General features: G+C 44.7%; 1 long non-coding RNA gene and 1 pseudogene across 2 annotated transcripts, besides 1 other annotated feature; both read left to right on the top strand.

The window, feature by feature from the left end:
- Positions 264–858: an enhancer, noted in NCBI's record as "H3K27ac-H3K4me1 hESC enhancer chr5:126010811-126011405 (GRCh37/hg19 assembly coordinates)". NCBI's record gives its function as "activates a minimal SCP1, AML or CMV promoter by ChIP-STARR-seq in naive H9 embryonic stem cells {active_cell/tissue: H9 hESC(naive)}" and the evidence as "EXISTENCE:reporter gene assay evidence [ECO:0000049][PMID:30033119]".
- LOC105379162 (uncharacterized) lies at positions 1,001–16,214 on the top strand. Of its 2 annotated transcripts, none has more exons than XR_001742530.1 (3): positions 1,001–1,159; positions 2,378–2,478; positions 16,176–16,214. It is a non-coding gene; the product is annotated as an uncharacterized LOC105379162 (long non-coding RNA). The 2 variants fall into 2 exon arrangements; XR_948740.1 differs by lacking the exon at positions 16,176–16,214 and adding an exon at positions 11,358–11,606.
- Positions 12,289–12,827, top strand: BOLA3P3 (bolA family member 3 pseudogene 3; annotated as a pseudogene).
- Positions 16,215–19,460: the final 3,246 nt, after the last annotated feature.

The following is a 19,460-nucleotide window of genomic DNA, read 5'->3' as shown; positions in this document are numbered from 1 at the left end:
AGCATGGTGAAACCCCGTCTGTACTACAAATAAAAAAATTAGCCGGGCACGGTAGTGTGTGCCTGTAATCTCAGCTATTTGGGAGGCTGAGGCAGGAGAATCGCTTGAACCCGGGAGGCAGGCGGAGGTTGCACTGAGCTAATATCATACCACTGCACTCCAACCTGGGCAACAGAGTGGTGAGACTCTGCCTCAAAAAAAAAAAAAAAACAATAATAATAATAATAAAGGAAATTTAGCCTCCACCTCATCCCCACGGCAAGCTCTCAGCTGTTAATTGTACCACAGAAGTTGTCCCACCCCGAGACCAGAAGGCTGCTATATCTCTTCATCAGTGAGTCTTTGGCCCTGGCTCCTCCAGGAGGAGGACATAACCTCTCAGCCATCATCTTCAGGACCCACTTCTAGGGGAGGAGGCTCCTCTCAGCCAACAACAATCCTCTGTGAAAGGACAATGGCCTGAGCCATTAGCAGCCAAGGCCTGTAGCAGCTGGAGGGTGAATGCACAGCCTGGTGAGGGGGTATGGGCAGGGCACCCAGCAGCATCTGCTCTACCTCCCCTAGGAGATGACATTCAATTTAAAAGCTGAACAATGTGGCTGGGCAAGGTGGCTCACCCCTGTAATCCCAGCACTTTGGGAGGCCGAGGTAGGCGGATCACCTGAGGCCAGGAGTTTGAGACCAGCCTGGCCAACATGGTGAAACCCCGTCTCTACTAAAAATACAAAAATTAGCCAGGCGTGGTGGTGCACACATGGAATCCCAGCTACTCCAGAGGCTGAGGCACAAGGATTGCTTGAATCCGGGAGACAGAGGTTGCAGTGAGCTGCGACTGCACCACTGCACTCCAGCCTGGGTGACAGAGTGAGACTCTACCTCAAAAAAAAAAAAGGAAAAAAGAAAAAACTGGGCTGACTTTCTTTTCCGGCTCAGCCCGCCTGCACCCAGGTGATTAAAAAGCTTTATTGCTCACACAAAGCCTGTTTGGCGGTATCTTCATGTGGATGTGCGTGACATTTGGTGCTGAAAACCTGGGACAGGAGGACTCCTTTGGGAGACCAGCCCCCTGTCCTCGCCCTCACTCCATGAGGAGATCCACCTACGACCTTGGGTCCTCAGACCAGCCAGCCCAAGGAACATCTCACCAATTTCAAATCGGGTAAGCGGTCTTTTCACTAAACTTCTGCCCTCCATTCCCCCTTCTTCTCTCAAGAACTTAAACTTAAATGTCTTATTTTCTTCTACAATACTGCTTGGCCCCAATACAAACTCGACAGTAGTTCCAAGTGGCCAGAGAATGGCACTTTCGATTTGTCTATCCTATACAAGATCCTTATACAAGATCTAGATAATTTTTGTCGAAAAATGGGCAAATGGTCTGAGGTGCCTGACGTCCAGGCATTCTTTTACACATCGGTCCCTTCCTAATCTCTGCTCCCAATGCGACTCTTCCCAAATCTTTCCTCTTTCTCTCCTGTCTGTTCCTTCAGTCTCCACTCCAAGCTCTGAGTCCTTTGAATCCTCCTTTCCTACGGACTCATCTGACCTCTCCCCTCCTCCCCAGGCTGCTCCGCGCCAGGTGTAGCCAGGTCCCAATTCTTCCTCAGCCTCCCCTCCCCCACCCTATAATCATTCTATCACCTCCCCTCCTCACACCTGGTCTGGTTTACAGCTTCGTTCTGGGACTAGCCCTCCCCCACCTGCCCAACAGTTTCCTCTTAGAAAGGTGGCTGGAGCTAAAGGCATAGTCACGGTTAATGCTCCTTTTTCTTTAACCGACCTCTCCCAAATCAGTTAGCATTTAGGCTCTTTTTTCTTTTTCATCAACTATAAAAACCCAGCCCAGTTCATGGCCCATTTGACAACAACCCTTAGATGCTCTACTGCCCAAGACCCAGAGAGGACAGAAGGCCGTTTTATTCTCAATATGCATTTTATTACCCGACCCCTCCCGACATTAGAAAAAAACTCCAAAAATTGGATTCTGGTCCTCAAACCCCACAACAGGACTTAATTAACCTCACCTTCAAGGTGTACAATAATAGAGAAGAAGCAGCCAAGCGACAATGCATCTCTGAGTTACAGCTACCTGCCTCCACTGTAAGACAACCCAAAACCCTGTCTCCAGCATACAAAAACTTCAGAACATCCAAGCCACATCTCCCAGGGGCTCCTTCAAAACCTCCCTGTGGACCTTGCTTCATATGCCAAAAGCCTGGCCACTGGGCCTCAGAATGCCTGCAGCCCGGGATTCCTCCTAAGCTGTGCCCTGTCTGTGCGGGCCCCCACTGGAAGTCGGACTGTCCAACTCACATAGCTGCCACTCCTAAAGCTCCCAGAGCTCAAACCCAACGTTCCTTGGCCGACTCCTTTCCAGATCTCCTTGGCTCAACAGCTGAAGACTGACGCTGCCCAATCGCTTTGGAAGCTCCGGGACTATCACGGACCCCGAGCTTCGAGTAACTCTTACAGTGGAGGGTAAGTCCATCCCCTGTTTCATGCGTGTCCGTGTGAAGAGACCACCAAACAGGCTTTGTGTGAGCAACAAGGCTGTTTATTTCACCTGGGTGCAGGCAGGCTGAGTCCGAAAAGAGAGTCAGCGAAGGGAGATAGGGGTGGGGCAGTTTTATAGGATTTGGGTAGGTAAAGGAAAAAGGGGGGTTGTTCTCTGGCGGGCAGGAGTGGGGGGTCACAAGTTGCTCAGTAGGGGTGCTTTTGAGCCAGGATGAGCCAGGAGAAGGAATTTCACAAGATAATGTCATCAGTTAAGGCAGGAACAGGCCATTTTCATTTCTTTTTTGGTGGAATGTCATCAGTTAAGGCAGGAACTGGCCATCTGGATGGGTACATGCAGGTCACAGGGGATATGGTGGCTTAGCTTGGGCTCAGAGGCCTGACACCCTGTTTAATCAATACGGGAGCTACCCACTCCACATTACCTTCTTTTCAAGGGCCCGTTTCCCTTGCCACCATCCACTGTTGTGGGTATTGATGGCCAGGCTGCTAGACCCCTTAAAACTCCCCAACTGTGGTGCCAACTTGGACAACATTCTTTTTTTTTTTTTTTTTTTTTTGAGGTGGAGTCTTGCTCTGTTGCCCAGGCTGGAGTACAGTGGCACGATCTTGGCTCACTGCAAGCTCCGCCTCCCAGGTTCATGCCATTCTCCTGCCTCAGCCGCCCAAGTAGCTGGGACTACAGGCGCCTGCCACCATGCTTGGCTAATTTTTTGTATTTTTAGTAGAGACGGGGTTTCACCATGTTAGCCAGGATGGTCTTGATCTCCTGATCTCATGATACGCCCTCCTCGGCCTCCCAAAGGGCTGGGATTACAGGCGTGAGCCACCGCGCCCAGCTGGACAACATTCTTTAATGCACTCCTTTTTAGTTATCCTCACCTGCCCAGCTCCCTTACTAGGTCGAGACATTTTAACTAAATTATCTGCTTCCCTGACTATTCCTGGGCTATAGCCACACCTCATTGCCACCTTTTTCCCCAGTTCAAAGCCTCCTTCACATCCTCCCTTTGTATCTCCCCACCTTAATCTACAAGTATAGGACACCTCTACTCCCTCCTTGGTGACGGATGATGCACCCCTTACCATCCCATTAAAATTTAATCACCCTTACCCCACTCAATGCCAATATCCCATCCCACAGCACACTTTAAAGGATTAAAGCCTGTCATCACTTGCCTGTTACAGCATGGCCTTTTAAAGCCTATAAACTCTCCTTACAATTCCCCCATTTTACCTGTCCAAAAACCAGACAAGCCTTACAGGTTAGTTCAGAATCTGCGCCTTATCAACCAAATTGTCTTGCCTATCCACCCCATGGTGCCAAACCCATATACTCTCCTATCCTCAATATCTCCCTCTACAACCCATTATTCTGTTCTAGATAAACCTAGCTGACCCCATAAATCCTAAATCCTTGCCCCACTCCCCTTTCCATTCCTTAAAAAACAGCCCTAAAATCTGCTCCCACACTAGCTCTCCCTAACTCATCCCAACCTTTTTCATTACACACAGCCAAAGTGCAGGGCTGTGTGGTCAGAATTCTTACATAAGAGCTGGGACCACGCCCTGTAGCCTTTCTGTCCAAACAACTTGACCTTACTCTTTTAGCCTAGCCCTCAAGTCTGCGTGTGGCAGCTGCTGCTTCTTTAATACTTTTAGAGGCCCTCAAAATCACAAACTATGCTCAACTCACTCTCTACAGTTCTCATAACTTTCAAAGTCTATTTTCTTCCTCACACCTGACACATATACTTTCTGCCCTCCGGCTCCTTTGGCTGTATTCACTGTTTGTTGAGTCTCCCACAATTACCATTGTTCTTGGCCTGGACTTCAATCCGGCCTCCCACATTATTCCTGATACCACACCTGACCCCCATGACTATATCTCTCTGATCCACCTGACATTCACTCCATTTCCCCATATTTCCTTCTTTCCTGTTCCTCACCCTGATCACACTTGGTTTATCGATAGCAGTTCCACCAGGCCTAATCACCACACACCAGCAAAGGCAGGCTATGCTATAGTATCTTCCACATCTATCATTGAGACTACCACTCTGCCCCTCCACTACCTCTCAGTAAGCTGAACTCATTGCCTTAACTCAGGCCCTCATTCTTTTTTTTTTTTTTTTATACTTTAAGTTTTAGGGTACATGTACACAATGTGCAGGTTAGTTACACATGTATACATGTGCCATGCTGGTGTGCTGCACCCATTAACTCATCATTTAGCATTAGGTATATCTCCTAATGCTATCCCTCCCCCCTCCCCCCACCCCACAACAGTCCCCAGAGTGTGATGTTCCCCTTCCTGTGTCCATGTGTTCTCATTGTTCAATTCCCATCTATGAGTGAGAACATGCGGTGTTTGGTTTTTTGTCCTTGCGATAGTTTACTGAGAATGATGATTTCCAGTTTCATCCATGTCCCTACAAAGGACATGAACTCATCATTTTTTATGGCTGCATAGTGTTCCATGGTGTATATGTGCCACATTTTCTTAATCCAGTCTATCGTTGTTGGACATTTGGGTTGGTTCCAAGTCTTTGCTATTGTGAATAGTGCTGCAATAAACTTATGTGTGCATGTGTCTTTATAGCAGCATGATTTATAGTCCTTTGGGTATATACCCAGTAATGGGATGGCTGGGTCAAATGGTATTTCTAGTTCTAGATCCCTGAGGAATCACCACACTGACTTCCACAATGGTTGAACTAGTTTACAGTCCCACCAACAGTGTAAAAGTGTTCCTATTTCTCCACATCCTCTCCAGCACCTGTTGCTTCCTAACTTTTTAATGATTGCCATTCTAACTGGTGTGAGATGGTATCTCATTGTGGTTTTGATTTCCATTTCTCTGATGGCCAGTGATGATGAGCATTTTTTCATGTGTCTTTTGGCTGCCTAAATGTCTTCTGTTGAGAAGTATCTGTTCATATCCTTCGCCCACTTTTTGATGGGGTTGTTTGTTTTTTTCTTGTAAATATGTTTGAGTTCATTGTAGATTCTGGATATTAGCCCTTTTTCAGATGAGTAGGTTGTGAAAATTTTCTCCCATTTTGTAGGTTGAACTCAGGCCCTCATTCTTGCAAAGGGACTATGCATCAATATTTATACTGACTCTAAATATGCCTTCCATATCCTGCACCACCATGCTGTTATATGGGCAGAAAGAGGTTTCCTCACTAGGCAAGGGCCCTCCATCATTAATGCCTCTTTAATGAAAACTCTTCTCAAGGCTGCTTTACTTCTAAAGGAAGCTGGAGTCATTCACTGCAAGGGCCACCTTGCAGTGGCCTCATCGCTCAGGACAATGTTTATGCTAATAAGGTAGCTAAAAAGCAGCTAGTGTTCCAACTTCTGTCCCTCACAGCCAGTTTGTCTCCTTCTCATCGGTCACTCCCACCTACTCTCCCACTGAAACTTCCACCTATTAATCTCTTCCCACACAAGGCAAACAGTTCTTGGACCAAGGAGAATATCTCCTTCCAGCCTCACAGGCCCATTCTATTCTGTTGTCCTTTCATAACCTCTTCCATGTAGGTTACAAGCCGTTAGCCCACCTCTTAGAACCTCTCATTTCCTTTCCATCATGGAAATCTATCCTCAAGGAAATCACTTCTCAATGTTCCATCTGCTATTCTACTACTCCTCAGGGATTGTTCAGGCCCCCCCACCTTCCCTACACATCAAGCTTGGGGATTTGCCCCTACCCAGGACTGACAAATTGACTTTACTCACATGCCCCGAGTCAGGAAACTAAAATACCTCTTGGTCTGGGTAGACACTTTCACTGGATGGGTAGAGGCCTTTCCCACAGGGTATGAGGCCACCACGGTCATTTCCTCCCTTCTGTCAGACAATTCCTCCGTTTGGCCTTCCCACCTCTATACAGCCCGATAATGGACCGACCTTTATTAGTCAAGTCACTCAGGCAGTCTCCCAGGCCCTGGGCATTCAATGGAAACTTCATGCTCCTTATTGCCCTCAATACTCAGGAGAGGTAGAAAGAACTAATGGTCTTTTAAAGACACACCTCACCAAGCTCAGCCTCCAGCTTAAAAACGACTGGACAGTACTTTTACCACTTGTCCTTCTCAGAATTCGGGCCTGTCCTCGGGATGCTACAGGGTACAGCCCATTTGAGCTCCTGTATGGACGCTCCTTTTGATTAGGCCCCAGTCTCATTCCAGACACCAGCCCTCTAGGTGATTATCTTCCAGTCCTCCAGCAAGCTAGACAGGAAATTTGCTGAGCTGCTAATCTTCTTTTGCCTACCCTAGATTCCCAGCCATATGAAGACACCCTAGCTCATCGATCAGTTCTTGTTAAAAATCTGACCCCTCAAACTCTACAACCTCGGTGGACCGGACCCCACTTAGTCATCTATAGTACCCCAACAGCTGTTCATCTGCAGGACCCTCCTCCCTTTAGGTTCATCATCCCAGAGTAAAGCTGTGCCCATCAGACAGACAGCCTGATTTCTCTTCTTCCGCCTGGAAGTCGCAAGTACTCTCTCCTACTTCCCTTAAACTCACCTGCATTCCTAAAGGATAATAGTAACCCTTATAAGCCTAATACATCCTTTCATTTTTATTAGGTCTCTTCTTCCTTACCCTACTCTTTACAATGCAGAGTACTCTTTACAACGCAGTCACCCCCACTACTTGGACTGCACCCCAAAAACTTGTCATCCCTACCATCTTCTGTCTAGTCATACTCCTATTCACCATTCTTAACTACTCGTATATGCCCTGCCCTTGTTTACACTGCCGGTTTACACTTTTCCTCCAAACCATCGTAGCAGATATCTCCTGGTACTTTCCCCAATCTGCCACTCTTGACTCCCTCTTGGAGTGGATAGATGATCTTTGCTGATAGGGCACACACAAATACTTTCACCCTGATGAAGTCCTATTCTTTACTTTTATATTCACTCTTATTCTATGCCACCCTCTACCTCTCCCCAGCTATCTCCACCACACTGTCAATCTTACTCACTCTCTCCTAGCCATTTCTAATCCTTCTTTAACAAACAATTGCTGGCTTTGCGTTTCTCTTTCCTCCAAAATTGCTGAGGACCCGACTTAATGCTACAAAAATAAAAAGGGGACTCTGTATATTTTTAAATGAAGAGTGTTATTTTTACCTAAATCAATCTGGCCTGGTATATGACAACATAAAAAAAAAAACTCAAGGATAAAACCCAAAAACTCGCTAGCCAAGCAAACAACTATGCTGGACCCCCTTGGACACTCTCTAATTGGATGTCCTGGGTACTCCTAATTCTTAGTCCTTTAGTACCTATTTTTCTCCTTCTTTTATTTGGTCCTCTTGTCTTCTGTTTAGTTTCTCAATTCATGCAAAACCACATCTAGGCCATCACCAATCATTCTGTACAAATGCTCCCTCTAACAACCCCACACCACCACCCCTTACCCCCAAATCTTTCTTCAGTTTAATCTCTTCCACTCTAGGTTCCCACGCCGCCCCTAATCCCACTTGAAGCAGCCCTGAGCAACATCCCCCATTATCTCTCCATACCATCGCCAAACATTTTCGCCGCCACAACACTTCATCACCATTTTGTTTTGTTTTTCTTATTAATATAAGAAGACAGGAATAATTAATAATTACTATAAGAAGTCAGGCCTCTCAGCCCAAGCTAAGCCATCATATCCCCTGTGACCTGCATGTATACATCCAGATGGCCTGAAGCAACTGAAGAACTATGAAAGATGACATTCCACCATTGTGATCTGTTCCTGCCCCACCCTAACTGATCAACTGACCTTATAACAATACACCCTCCCCGCCCTTGCGATAACGTACTTTGCGATATTCCCCAGCCCTTAAGAAGGTACTTTGTAATATTCTCCCCCACCCTTAAGAAGGTACTTTGTAATATTCTCCCCCACCCTTAAGAAGGTACTTTGTAATATTCTCCCGCACCCTTAAGAAGGTACTTTGTAATATTCTCCCCCACCCTTAAGAAGGTACTTTGTAATATTCTCCCCGACCTTGAGAATGTACTTTGTAATATTCTCCCCCACCCTTAAGAAGGTACTTTGTAATATTCTCCCGCACCCTTAAGAAGGTACTTTGTAATATTCTCCCCCACCCTTAAGAAGGTACTTTGTAATATTCTCCCCCACCCTTAAGAAGGTACTTTGTAATATTCTCCCCGACCTTGAGAATGTACTTTGTGAGATCCACCCCCTGACCACAAAAAATTGCTCCTAGCTCCACCACTTATCCCAAACCTATAAGAACTAATGATAATCCCACCACTCTTTGCTGACTCTCTTTTTGGACTCAGCTCACCTGCACCCAGGTGATTAAAAAGCTTTATTGCTCAAAAAAAAAAAAAAAAAAAAAGGAAAAGAAAAAGCTGAATGATGCCAGGCATGGTGGCTTTCACTTGTAATCCCAGAACTTAGGAAGGTTGAGGTGGGAGGATCACTTGAGCCTGGGAGGTCGAGGCTGCAGTGACAGCCTGGTGACAGAGTGAGACCCTGTCTCAGATAAATAAATAAATAAATAAATGATAAGAAAGAGACAGCCATGTGAAAATCTCAGGAAGAACTTTCCAGGTCATTCTGAGATGGGGACAAACTCACCATATTTGAAGTACAGGAGGAAGGCCAACATCAGTGGAATGTGGTGAAGGAGAGGAAACAGGGAGAAACTAGGCTTGTGAATCTTCTTTTTTTTTTTTTTTTTTTTTTTTTGAGATAGGAGTCTCACTACATTGTCCAAGCTGGTCTCGAACACCTGTTTTCAAGCAATCTTCCCACCTCAGGCTCCCAAGTAGCTGGGATGACAGGTGCATGCCCAGCTGTGAGTTTCTGAATCCAAGAGGGCAGTATAAGATAATTGGCAGTAGCTGGCTTTTATCCTGACTACTGCTTCCTCAGGGCATTTTATATCTCCAAAGCAGGTTGATAAAGTTATTTATTTTCTAAATAAATAAGTAATACATGTTGGGAATTGCTTTTTTAATAAGATAAATGAGAGTCATAGTGTTAATTTGATTTGCATTAAGACACGAGAAATTTGAGTTAGTGACATGATTAGTTATGTCATTCCTGCTTTGATTAAAAATGCACACCCACACATCCATTCATGGCTTGTTCTCAGTGTATCAATTCTTAAATATTGCCACTCTCATGAGTCTTTAGAAGGTAACAAAGCAAGTCCAATCTTGATCTTGGGTGCATAGTCTATTCCCTCCTAATTAGGCTGTACTTAAGTGAACTATTTCGGAAGGGGAAAACAGATTAGTCATACTAAATGCTTCCTTAAAAAATTTCACCATAAAAGAAAGCTCCCACCAGGAGCAGTGGCTTACACCTGTAATCCAAGCATTTTGGGATAATGGGGCAGGAGGATCACCTGAGGTCGAGAGTTCAAAACCAGCCTGACCAACATGGAGAAACCCTGTCTCTACTAAAAATACAAAAATTAGCCGGGCGTGGTGGTGCATGCCTGTAATCCCAGCTACTAGGGAGGCTGAGGTAGGATAATTGATTGAACCCAGGAGGCAGAGGTTGCGGTGAGCCAAGATTGTACCATTGCACTCCAGCCTGGGCAACAAGAGCGAAACTCAGTCTCAAAAAGAAAAGAAAAGAAAGCTCCGTACGTCTTACTACTTCTGACACCACACCTTGGTTTCTTTCTTACTTGATTTTCTTTCTTTTTTTCTTTTTTTTTTTTTTTTGGAGACAGGCTTTTGGTCTTGTTGCCCAGGCTGGAGTGCAATGGTGCAAACTTGGCTCACTGCAACCTCTGCCTCCCAGGATCAAGCGATTCTCATACCTCAGCCTCCAGAGTAGCTGGGATTACAGGCACATGCCACCACACCCAGCTACTTTTTTTATTTGTAGTAGAGATGGGGGTTTCACTATGTTGGCCAGGCTGGTCTCGAACTCCTGACCTCAGGTAATACACCTGCCTTGGCCTCCCAAAGTGCTGGGATTGCAGGTGTGAGCCACTGTGCCTGGCCGATTTTTTTTTTCCTCTCTGTATCACCATCTGTCTTTCTAGAAAAATGTTTTATTCCTTTTTTTTTTGGAGGTTAAAATAACTCTCTTTAATATTGCCTTCCTGACCTCCTTTATAAAGATCACTCCCAAGTACAATTCACCTCTTCTGCTGTGGGTCAAACCTGTGTCCATGTGCCCAATTCTCCATTGTGTATGTGATTCACTCCAACATAAAATGTCACAAGCAGCCCCTTTGTCTTCATTCACACAGCTTTGATGTGAATCTGGCACTTCTTACCTGGATATGTTTCCAAAGAAGTGTCCCTGTCTCTTTGTCTCCAATTCATCCTTTGAAGTATTGCCAGATTAATTTTTGTCAAATCCTGTTCTGATCATGAACATCCCCTCTAATTCACAGTAATCTGTGTCAATCATTTGTTTGGGGATTTAAAGTTTTTTACAGGATGCATCACATTTCTTATCTAACAGTATATTTTTTTATTCTCCAACAGAAACCTTCTGTTTTACCCAGGAGGTTTTCACCTTCCCATAAATACAGTGGGTGTTTTTTACTTCCTTATTGCCTCTATTTGTACTTTTTCCTCATGTAGAAAGTCCACTGCAGTTTTAATTTCCTCAAATCCTTTTTTTTTTTTTAACAGAGATGGGTTTTCACTATGTTGCTCAGATTGACCTTGAACACCTGGACTCAAGCAATCCTCCGGCTTTGGCCTTCTGAGTAGCTGGAACTACAGGCCTATGCCACCATGCCCAGCTCTCATCTCCTCAAATCCTGTGACCTCTTGGAACCCACTCTGACCCTTGGCTCACAAAAACTTCTCTCTCCTCTGACAGGTAGCACCGGTCAAAGACTTCTTGTGTGGTAAACACTTAGGATAAAGTGCACAGGCGATTGCTTGAAAAAACTATGACACAAGTATCATCTTTGTCTTCCAATACCAGAATGACAATGAACCTTCCTGTACTTGAAAATAATTAATCAACTCCCCAGAAAGACAAAGGATGAACACCTTTATAATCCTGACCAAAAAGGAAAGGAAGGAAGGAAGGAAGGAGAGAGAGAGAGAGAGAGAGAAAGAGAGAGGGGGGGAGAGAGATAGAGAGAGAGAGAGAAAGAAAGAAAAGAAAGAAAGAAAGAGAAGAAAGAAAAGGAAGAAAGAAAAGGAAGAAAGAAAGAATGCCGGGTGCGGTGGCTCACGCCTGTAATCCCAGCACTTTGGGAGGCCGAGGCGGGTGGATTGCCTGAGTTTGGGAGTTCGAGACCAGCCTGGCCAGCATGGTGAAACCTCATCTCTACTAAAAATATACAAAAATTAGCCGGGCGTGGTGGCAGACGCCTGTAATCCCAGCTACTTGGGAAGCTGAGGCCGGAGAATCACTTGAACCTGGGAGGCAGAGGTTGCAGTGAGCCGAGGTCACACCATTGCACTCCAGCCTGGGCAACAGAGTGAGACTCTGTCTCAAAAAAAAAAAAAAAAAAAAAAAAGAAGAAAGAAAGGAGTTATCATTTTGAAGATATGAGGCCCCAATCTTTAGGAAAATGGCTCATAAATATAGAAAAGAGAAAGTGTATTTAATGAAAACAAACTCACAGAGGTTACAATGTTGCAAAGGGCTGGTCTGGCCGGGCACGGTGGCTCACACTTGTAATCCCAGCACTTTGGAAGGCCGAGGTGGGTGGATTACCTGAGGCCGGGAGTTCGAGACCAGCCTGGCCAACATGGTGAAACCCCATCTCTACTAAAAATACAAAAAAATTAGGGGCATACAGTGACCTCGGGCGGCGGGTCGCGTCAGCGGGGCATGGCGGCATGGAGCCCGGCCGCAGCAGCGCCTCTGCTCCGCGGGATCTGCGGGCTTCCACTTCACCATGGGATGTTTGCCACCCAGACTGAGGGGGAGCTCAGAGTGACCCAAATTCTCAAAGAAAAGTTTCCACGAGCTACAGCTATCAAAGTCACTGACATTTCTGGAGTTGTGGGACGATGTATGAAATTAAAATTGAATCAGAAGAATTTAAGGAGAAGAGAACTGTCCAGCAGCACCAGATGGTTTATCAGGCACTAAAAGAAGAAATCAAAGAGATGCATGGATTGCGGATATCTACCTCTGTCCCCAAACTCTGACCACATCCTGGCTGCATAGATGCTGCTGCTTAAGACCTTGGATGAACTTGACTGACATCATTCTTCCCTAAGCATTCACCAAAAATTTATATATTTTGCTCATATACATTTCCATATTATAATTATAGAACATGTATAATCTATTTAGATGTTAATTTAAAGGAAACAAACAACTGAAAAAAAATACAAAAAATTAGCTGAGTGGCGTGGCACATACCTGTAGTCCCCGCTACTTGAAAGGGTGAGGCAAGAGAATTGCCTGAGCCGGGGATGCAGAGGTTGCAGTGAGCTGAGATTGTGCCACTGCACTCCAGCCTGGGCAATGGAGCGAGACTCTGTCTCAAAAAATAAGTAAATTAATTAGTTAAAAGTGCATTATGCTGAGTGAGAAAACCCAGTCTCAAAGGTTATATGCCTTATGATTCCATTAATATTACATTTCTGAAGTGGCAAAATTACAGTAACAAAGAACAGATCAGAAGTGGCCAGAGAGGCCAGGCGTGGTGGCTCATGCCTGTAATCTCAGCACTTTGGGAGGCTGAGGTGGGCAGATCACCTGAGGTCAGGAATTTGAGACCAGCCTGACCAACATGGCAAAACCCCATCTCTACTAATAGTAAAGTACAAAATTAGCTGTGCATGGTGGCGCGCACATATAGTTCCAGCTACTCAGAAGGCTGAAGCAGGAAAATCGCTTGAGCTCGGGAGATGGAGGTTGCAGTGAGCCGAGGTTGCGCCATTGCACTCCAGCCTGGGAAACAGAGGGAGACTCCATCTCAAAAAAAAAAGAAAGACAGGGCGCAGTGGCTCATGCTTGTAATCCCAGCACTTTGGGAGGCCGAGGTGGGTGGATTGCCTGAGGTCGGGACTTCAAGACCATCCTTGCTAACACGGTGAAACCCCATCTCTACTAAAAATACAAAAAATTAGCCAGCTGTGGTGGCACACGCCTGTAGTCCCAGCTACTCGGGAGGCTGAGGCAGAAGAATTGCTTGAACCTGGGAGGCGGAGGTTGCAGTGAGCCAAGATTGCACTACTGCACTCCAGCTTGGGCAACAGAGTGAGACTTCGTCTCGAAAAAAAAAAAAAAGTATTAAAGGAAAAAAGTGGTGTGTGTGTGTGTGTGTGTGTGTGTGTGTGTGTGTGTGTGGTTGTCTGAGGGAGAGAGAGTTAAATTCCAAAGACTCCAGACAGAGGACAGTACATTTTTCTCCTGGTGATCTTCAGAAAAAAAAAATTGATTTCAAAGCCTTTGCTAATTCTTCATGCTGCTGATGGTAGAGACTAGGTATAAATGGCTGTTTTGTTTTGCTAAGTAAAGCATCACAAATAATTTTCTTGTTAGTGCAAAGATCTGGAGAGCCCAAATTATTTTCTTCATTGTGTGCAGGAGTCATCTTTGAAAATTATTTTTGTGTTTGGGAAAATGTGTGTTGTTCTTAGTTTGGATTTGAACTTCATCATCGCTGAGAATTATTGCTCATCTGTGCTTGGGGTGTGTGTGTCTGTGTGTGTGTGTGTGTGTGTGTGTGTGTGTGTGTGATTTGCCCAAGGCCTATCCATAGGAGACAAGAAGTCCCTAGAGAAAATAAAGGGGCATGCTTTTCCCTCACGCTGCCAGAGAACAAAGAGGATGCTCTCTTTTGTTAAATGCCTGTTTGTCTGTTTCCCATTTGAAAGATTGGAGCCTGGCCAACGTGGCAAAATCCTGTCTCTATCAAAAAATACAAAAATTAGGCCAGGTGTGGTGGCTCGCGCCTGTAATCCCAGCACTTCGGGAGGCAGAAGCAGGTGGATCACTTGAGATCAGGAGTTTGAGACAAGCCTGGCCAACATGGTGAAACCCTGTTTCTACTAAAACTATGAAAAAAAAAAAAAAAGGTCAGGCATGGTGGTGCACACTTGTAATCCCAGCTACTCTGGAGGCTGAGGCAGGAAAATCACTTGAACCTGAGAGGCAGGGGTTGCAGTGAGCGGAGATCGTGCCACTGCACACCAGCCTGGGTGACAGAGTGAGACTACATTTCAAAAACAAAACAAAAGAAAAATTAGCCGAGCATGGTGGCACACGCCTGTAGTCCCAGCTACTCAGGAGGCTGAAATGGGAGAATTGGTTGAACCTGGGAGGTAGAGGGTGCAGTGAGCCAAGATTGTGCCACTGCACTCCAGCATGGGCAACAGAGTAAGACCCCATTTCCAAAAAAAAAAAAAAAAAATTGGATTGCTTATTTTTTTTCTTATTGATTTAAAGGGGTGTTTTATATATTCTGAATGGAAGACTTTGGATTTATGTATTTCACATGTCTTCTATCAGTCTATGGCCTTCCTTTCACTCCCTTAATGGAATCTTATGATGAAGATAAGTTTTTAATTTTAATGAACATCAAATTTTCACTCTTTTCTTTATGGTTAGTACTTTTGCATGGAGTCTAAACAATATTTTCGCTAACCTTAAAGTATTTATATAACAGTTGCCTCGGCCGGGCATGGTGGCTCACGTCTGTAATCCCAGCACTTTGGGAGGCCAAGGCAGGTGCATCACTTGACGCCAGGAATTCGAGACCAGACTGGCCAACATAGTGAAACCCCATCTCTGCTAAAAATACAAAAATTAGCCAGGTGTGGTGGCGCACGCCTGTAATCCCAGCTACTTGGGGGGCTGAGGCACGAGGATCGCTTGAACCTGGGAGGCGGAGGCTGCGGTGAGCCGAGATCATGCCCCTGCACTCCAGCCTGGGCGACAAAGTGAGACTCTGTTTCAAAAACAAAAACAAAATCAGTTGCCTTTATAGACTCAGGATATACTCTCTATGACCTACCAGCCTTTGGGTTCAGTACTGAGGACTCAGCACTCTGTATTTGGTGGTGGAGAATGATTCTTCTCTCTGTTTCTAGATCATTCTGTTTTCAAAAGCTAGGCCTAAAAGCTTTCAGAAAAGAGCAGTAATCAAAATCATTGACACACTATTCAGCAGTAGTATTCATCAATCAGAATGAACATGGTCATAAGCAGCCTGTACTAGTGAAACAGCAACATCATCAACCTTGCTTATAGGAAATGAAAGTCATTTACCCATGATCCAATTTCTCTAAATCTGCCTCAGTTATGTGGGCTGTGGCTGTGACTACTGTAAACAAAAAAGATCTGAGACAGGTTCAATCAATTAAGAAGTTTATTTTGTCAAGTTTAAGGACATGCCTGGAAGAAATAAACAAGAAATCACACAGTCTGTGGTCTGTGCCTTTCTCCAAAGATGATTTTGAGGGCTTCAATATTTAAAGGGGAAAAATGGGCTGGAGGGGAAAGAGGAAGTGTATGGTAGTCCACATGTTGCAGGAGAAAAGGAGCAGGGAGGGTAATAGTCAATTATGTATTCATTTCGCTCTAAGTAAATCATAAGTTAGCACTTTACATAAAAGGTGAACACAGAGTAGCTACCTACAGAGAGATTTAACCTTTTATCGGTAGCTATCTGCTTAGGAACAAAAGGAAATACAATTTCTTTTTTTTTTTTTTTTGAGACAGGGTCTTGCTCCGTCACCTAGGCTGGAATGCAGTGGTGCGATCTTGGCTCATTGCAACCTCCACCTCCCGGGTTCAAGTGATTCTTCTGCCTCAGCCTCCTGAGTTTCGAGGATTACAGGTGTGTACTACCACATCCACCTAAAGGAAAGCCAACTTCTTTTTTTTTTTTTCAGACAGGGTCTCACTCCATCACCCAGGCTAGAGTGCAGTGGTATGATCTCGGCTCACTGCAACCTCCGCCTCCTGGGTTCAAGCGATTCTCCTGCCTCAGCCTCCTGAGTAGCTGGAATTACAGGGGCCTGCCATTGTGCCTGGCTAATTTTTTTTTTTTTTTTTTTTTGAGACAGAGTTTGGCTTTTGTCGCCCAGGCTGGAGTGCAACGGTGCGATCTCAGCTCACTGCAACCTCCGCCTCCCAGGTTCAAGGGATTCTCCTGCCTCAGTCTCCCAAGTAGCTGGGATTCCAGGCCCATGCCACCACGCTTGGCTAATTTTTGTATTTTTAGTAGAGATGGGGTTTCACCATGTTGGCCAGGCTGGTCTCAAACTCCTGACCTCAGGAGATCCACCCACCTCAGCCTCCCAAAGTTCTGGGATTACAAGCATGAGTCACCGCGCCTGGCCTAAGAATGCTATTTTTTGAAATAGAAAATGTATATTTATATTAGACCAGGAGCTCAGTCCTCAAGTAGGTTCAAAACTCTTTCTTTGTGTTTTTGTTTTCTTGTTTTTTAAGAGACTTTTCTCCGAAAATAAGAAAAAAGAAAAAAAGTTTAAAAAAAAGAAAAAAAGGTAAAAAAAAAAAACAAAAAAGGAAAAAAAGAGTTAAACTTTTCTCCTAGTAAAAATGGCCAAGTAAAATGGCTAAGCTAGTAAAAATAGCTAAGAAGTCCAGAGTTCATTGTTACAAATCATTTACAATGAAGATTCATCTGTTTTTTGGGAGGAGTTTGGGGGGACAGTGTCTCACTCTGTCACCCAGGCTGGAGTGCAGTGGTGCATTTATGGCTCACTGCAGCCTCCAACTCCTTGGCTCAAGCTGTCTTCCTACCTCAGCCTCCCAAGTAGCTCCGTGCGAAGCACTGTGGTAAAAGTGAGGGGAAATACCAAGAGGATTAAGGCACGGTCTCAGTCCTTAAGAAGATTTATACAGGCAGAATAGTGATAGAAAACACTGAAGCCCAGCAAAAGAGATTATTTCCAACACGACAGATATGAGAGGGAAGACTTCATGGACGAAATGCAGCTGAACTGGGCTTTGAATGGCTGGAAGGTCAGCATATGGTTATATCCAGCAAGTTTGAAAAACAAAAGAGCTAAATCCAAGAAAAAGCACAGGCTAGGTATGAGGACTTTGAAGGAAGTTGTTGCCGAGAAAGGAGTGTGAGTGCAAGCGTATGTGGGGGCGCTGGGGGTGGTATGACCATCATACAGTAAGATGCAGCTGTACTAATGAAGATTGACTGGAGTTGGATGGTGATGGTCCCTATAGAACATTATGTTGTGGATGTTTGAATCATTAATTTTTTTGGTAATAAAATATGCATAACATAATATTTATTATTTTAACCATTTTTGAGTGTAAGTTCAGTGGCACTAAGTACATTGACATTGTTGTGGAATCACCGTCACCATCCATCCACAGAACATTTCATGAATGGCTTTTTTTTTTTAGACAGTCTTGTTCTGTCACCCAAGCTGGAGTGCAGTGGCGATCTCAGCTCACAGCAACCTCCATCTCTCGAGTTCAAGCAATTCTCATGCCTCAGCCTCCTGAGTAGCTGGGACCACAGGCCCGCGCCACCACGCCCGGCTAATTTTTTTAATTTTTAATAGAGAAGGGGTTTTGCCATGTTGGCCAGGCTGGTCTCAAACTCCTGACCTCAAGTGATCCACTCTCCTCGGCCTCCCAAAGTGCTGGGATTATGGGCATGAGCCACCGCACCCTGCCTATGAATGGCTTTTTAACAGAAAGATGAAGGGACCACAGGTGACTACATCATTCTAGTAGCAGCATACAGAATTAACTGAATTGTCCCAATTTATTTATGGGAAAGGTGAGAGAGGAGGCAGGGGATGAACTAAGAGGTTATTGTAAGACACTTGGTGCCAGGAGAGTAGTTCCCACAGTGAAAATTAAAGAGCGGACAGCTATGCTAGGTGTGGTGGCGTGCGCCTGTAGTCACGGCTTGGAGGTTGCAGTGAGCTCAGATCGCACCACTGCACTCCAGCCTGGGGGACAGAGTGAGACCCTGTCTCAAATAAACAAACAAAACAAAACAAAAAACCCATCATTACCACCACAAAATAAAAACAATATTGTGAATTAGCTATCAGTATCCCCACTTTCAAGATGAGAAGCTGAGGATGAGGCCTGTGGTGTATGGAGCATGCTTAAAGTTGCACAGTAAGTGATGGAGTCAAAACTCAAATACCGGCCGGTCACGGTGGCTCACGCCTGTAATCCTAACACTTTGGGAGGCCAAGGCAGGCAGATCACCTGAGGCCAGGAGTTTGAGACCAGCCTGGTCAACATGGTGAAACCCTGTCTCTACTGAAAATACAAAATAAATTAGCCGGGCATCGTGGTGCACACCTGTAAACCCAGCTACTTGGGAGGCTGAGGCAGGAGAATCACTTGAACCCGGGAGGCAGAGGTTGCAGTGAGCTGAGATCGCACCACTGCTGAGATCCAGGCTGGCTGACAGAGCAAGACACCGTCTCAAAAACAAACAAATAAACAAAAACAAAAAACACAAAAAAACCTCAAATCCTAGTTGGTCTAACTCCCAAGTTGATGCTTTGAAGTACTGTACTAATGGTTTTTAGTTTGTCCCTGGAAAAGTTTGGTTTTCCTGTTTAAATGTATTCTCTCTTGTTTTCTCTTTTTCTACTTTCAAAGTTTTACATATCAGATAAAATTCTCTGTGGCTTAGTAAAGTGCTAGGTACTAATGAGAATAATCCAAAGGCTATAAGTTTCCATTTGTTGATAATACTCCACTTGAAAACTTGTTAGTTACAGAGGCACTGATAGATGTTTATGTCTAACTTCTATAATATCATAATATCTCTAGGAAATATAATATCATATTTCTAAAGAAAAAGTTTTCCCTTAGTAAAAAAGAGCAAAACAAAACAAACAAAAACCCCAAAACAATTTATCAGAAAGGCTTTGCTTTTTCTTAAGCGACGCAACACCGACCTCTTCTGGTCAGGAAGCGGAAGTATTAGGCAAATAATGAACTTGGAAAAATCAGGGTGGAAAAGTCAAGTTAAGGAGAAAA

This window comes from Homo sapiens, chromosome 5 (genome assembly GCF_000001405.40).
Source record: "Homo sapiens chromosome 5, GRCh38.p14 Primary Assembly".
NCBI classification, from domain to species: Eukaryota; Metazoa; Chordata; class Mammalia; order Primates; family Hominidae; genus Homo; species Homo sapiens.
Note: the sequence above shows the minus strand (reverse complement) of the source record. Positions and strands in the feature narration are given on the sequence as shown.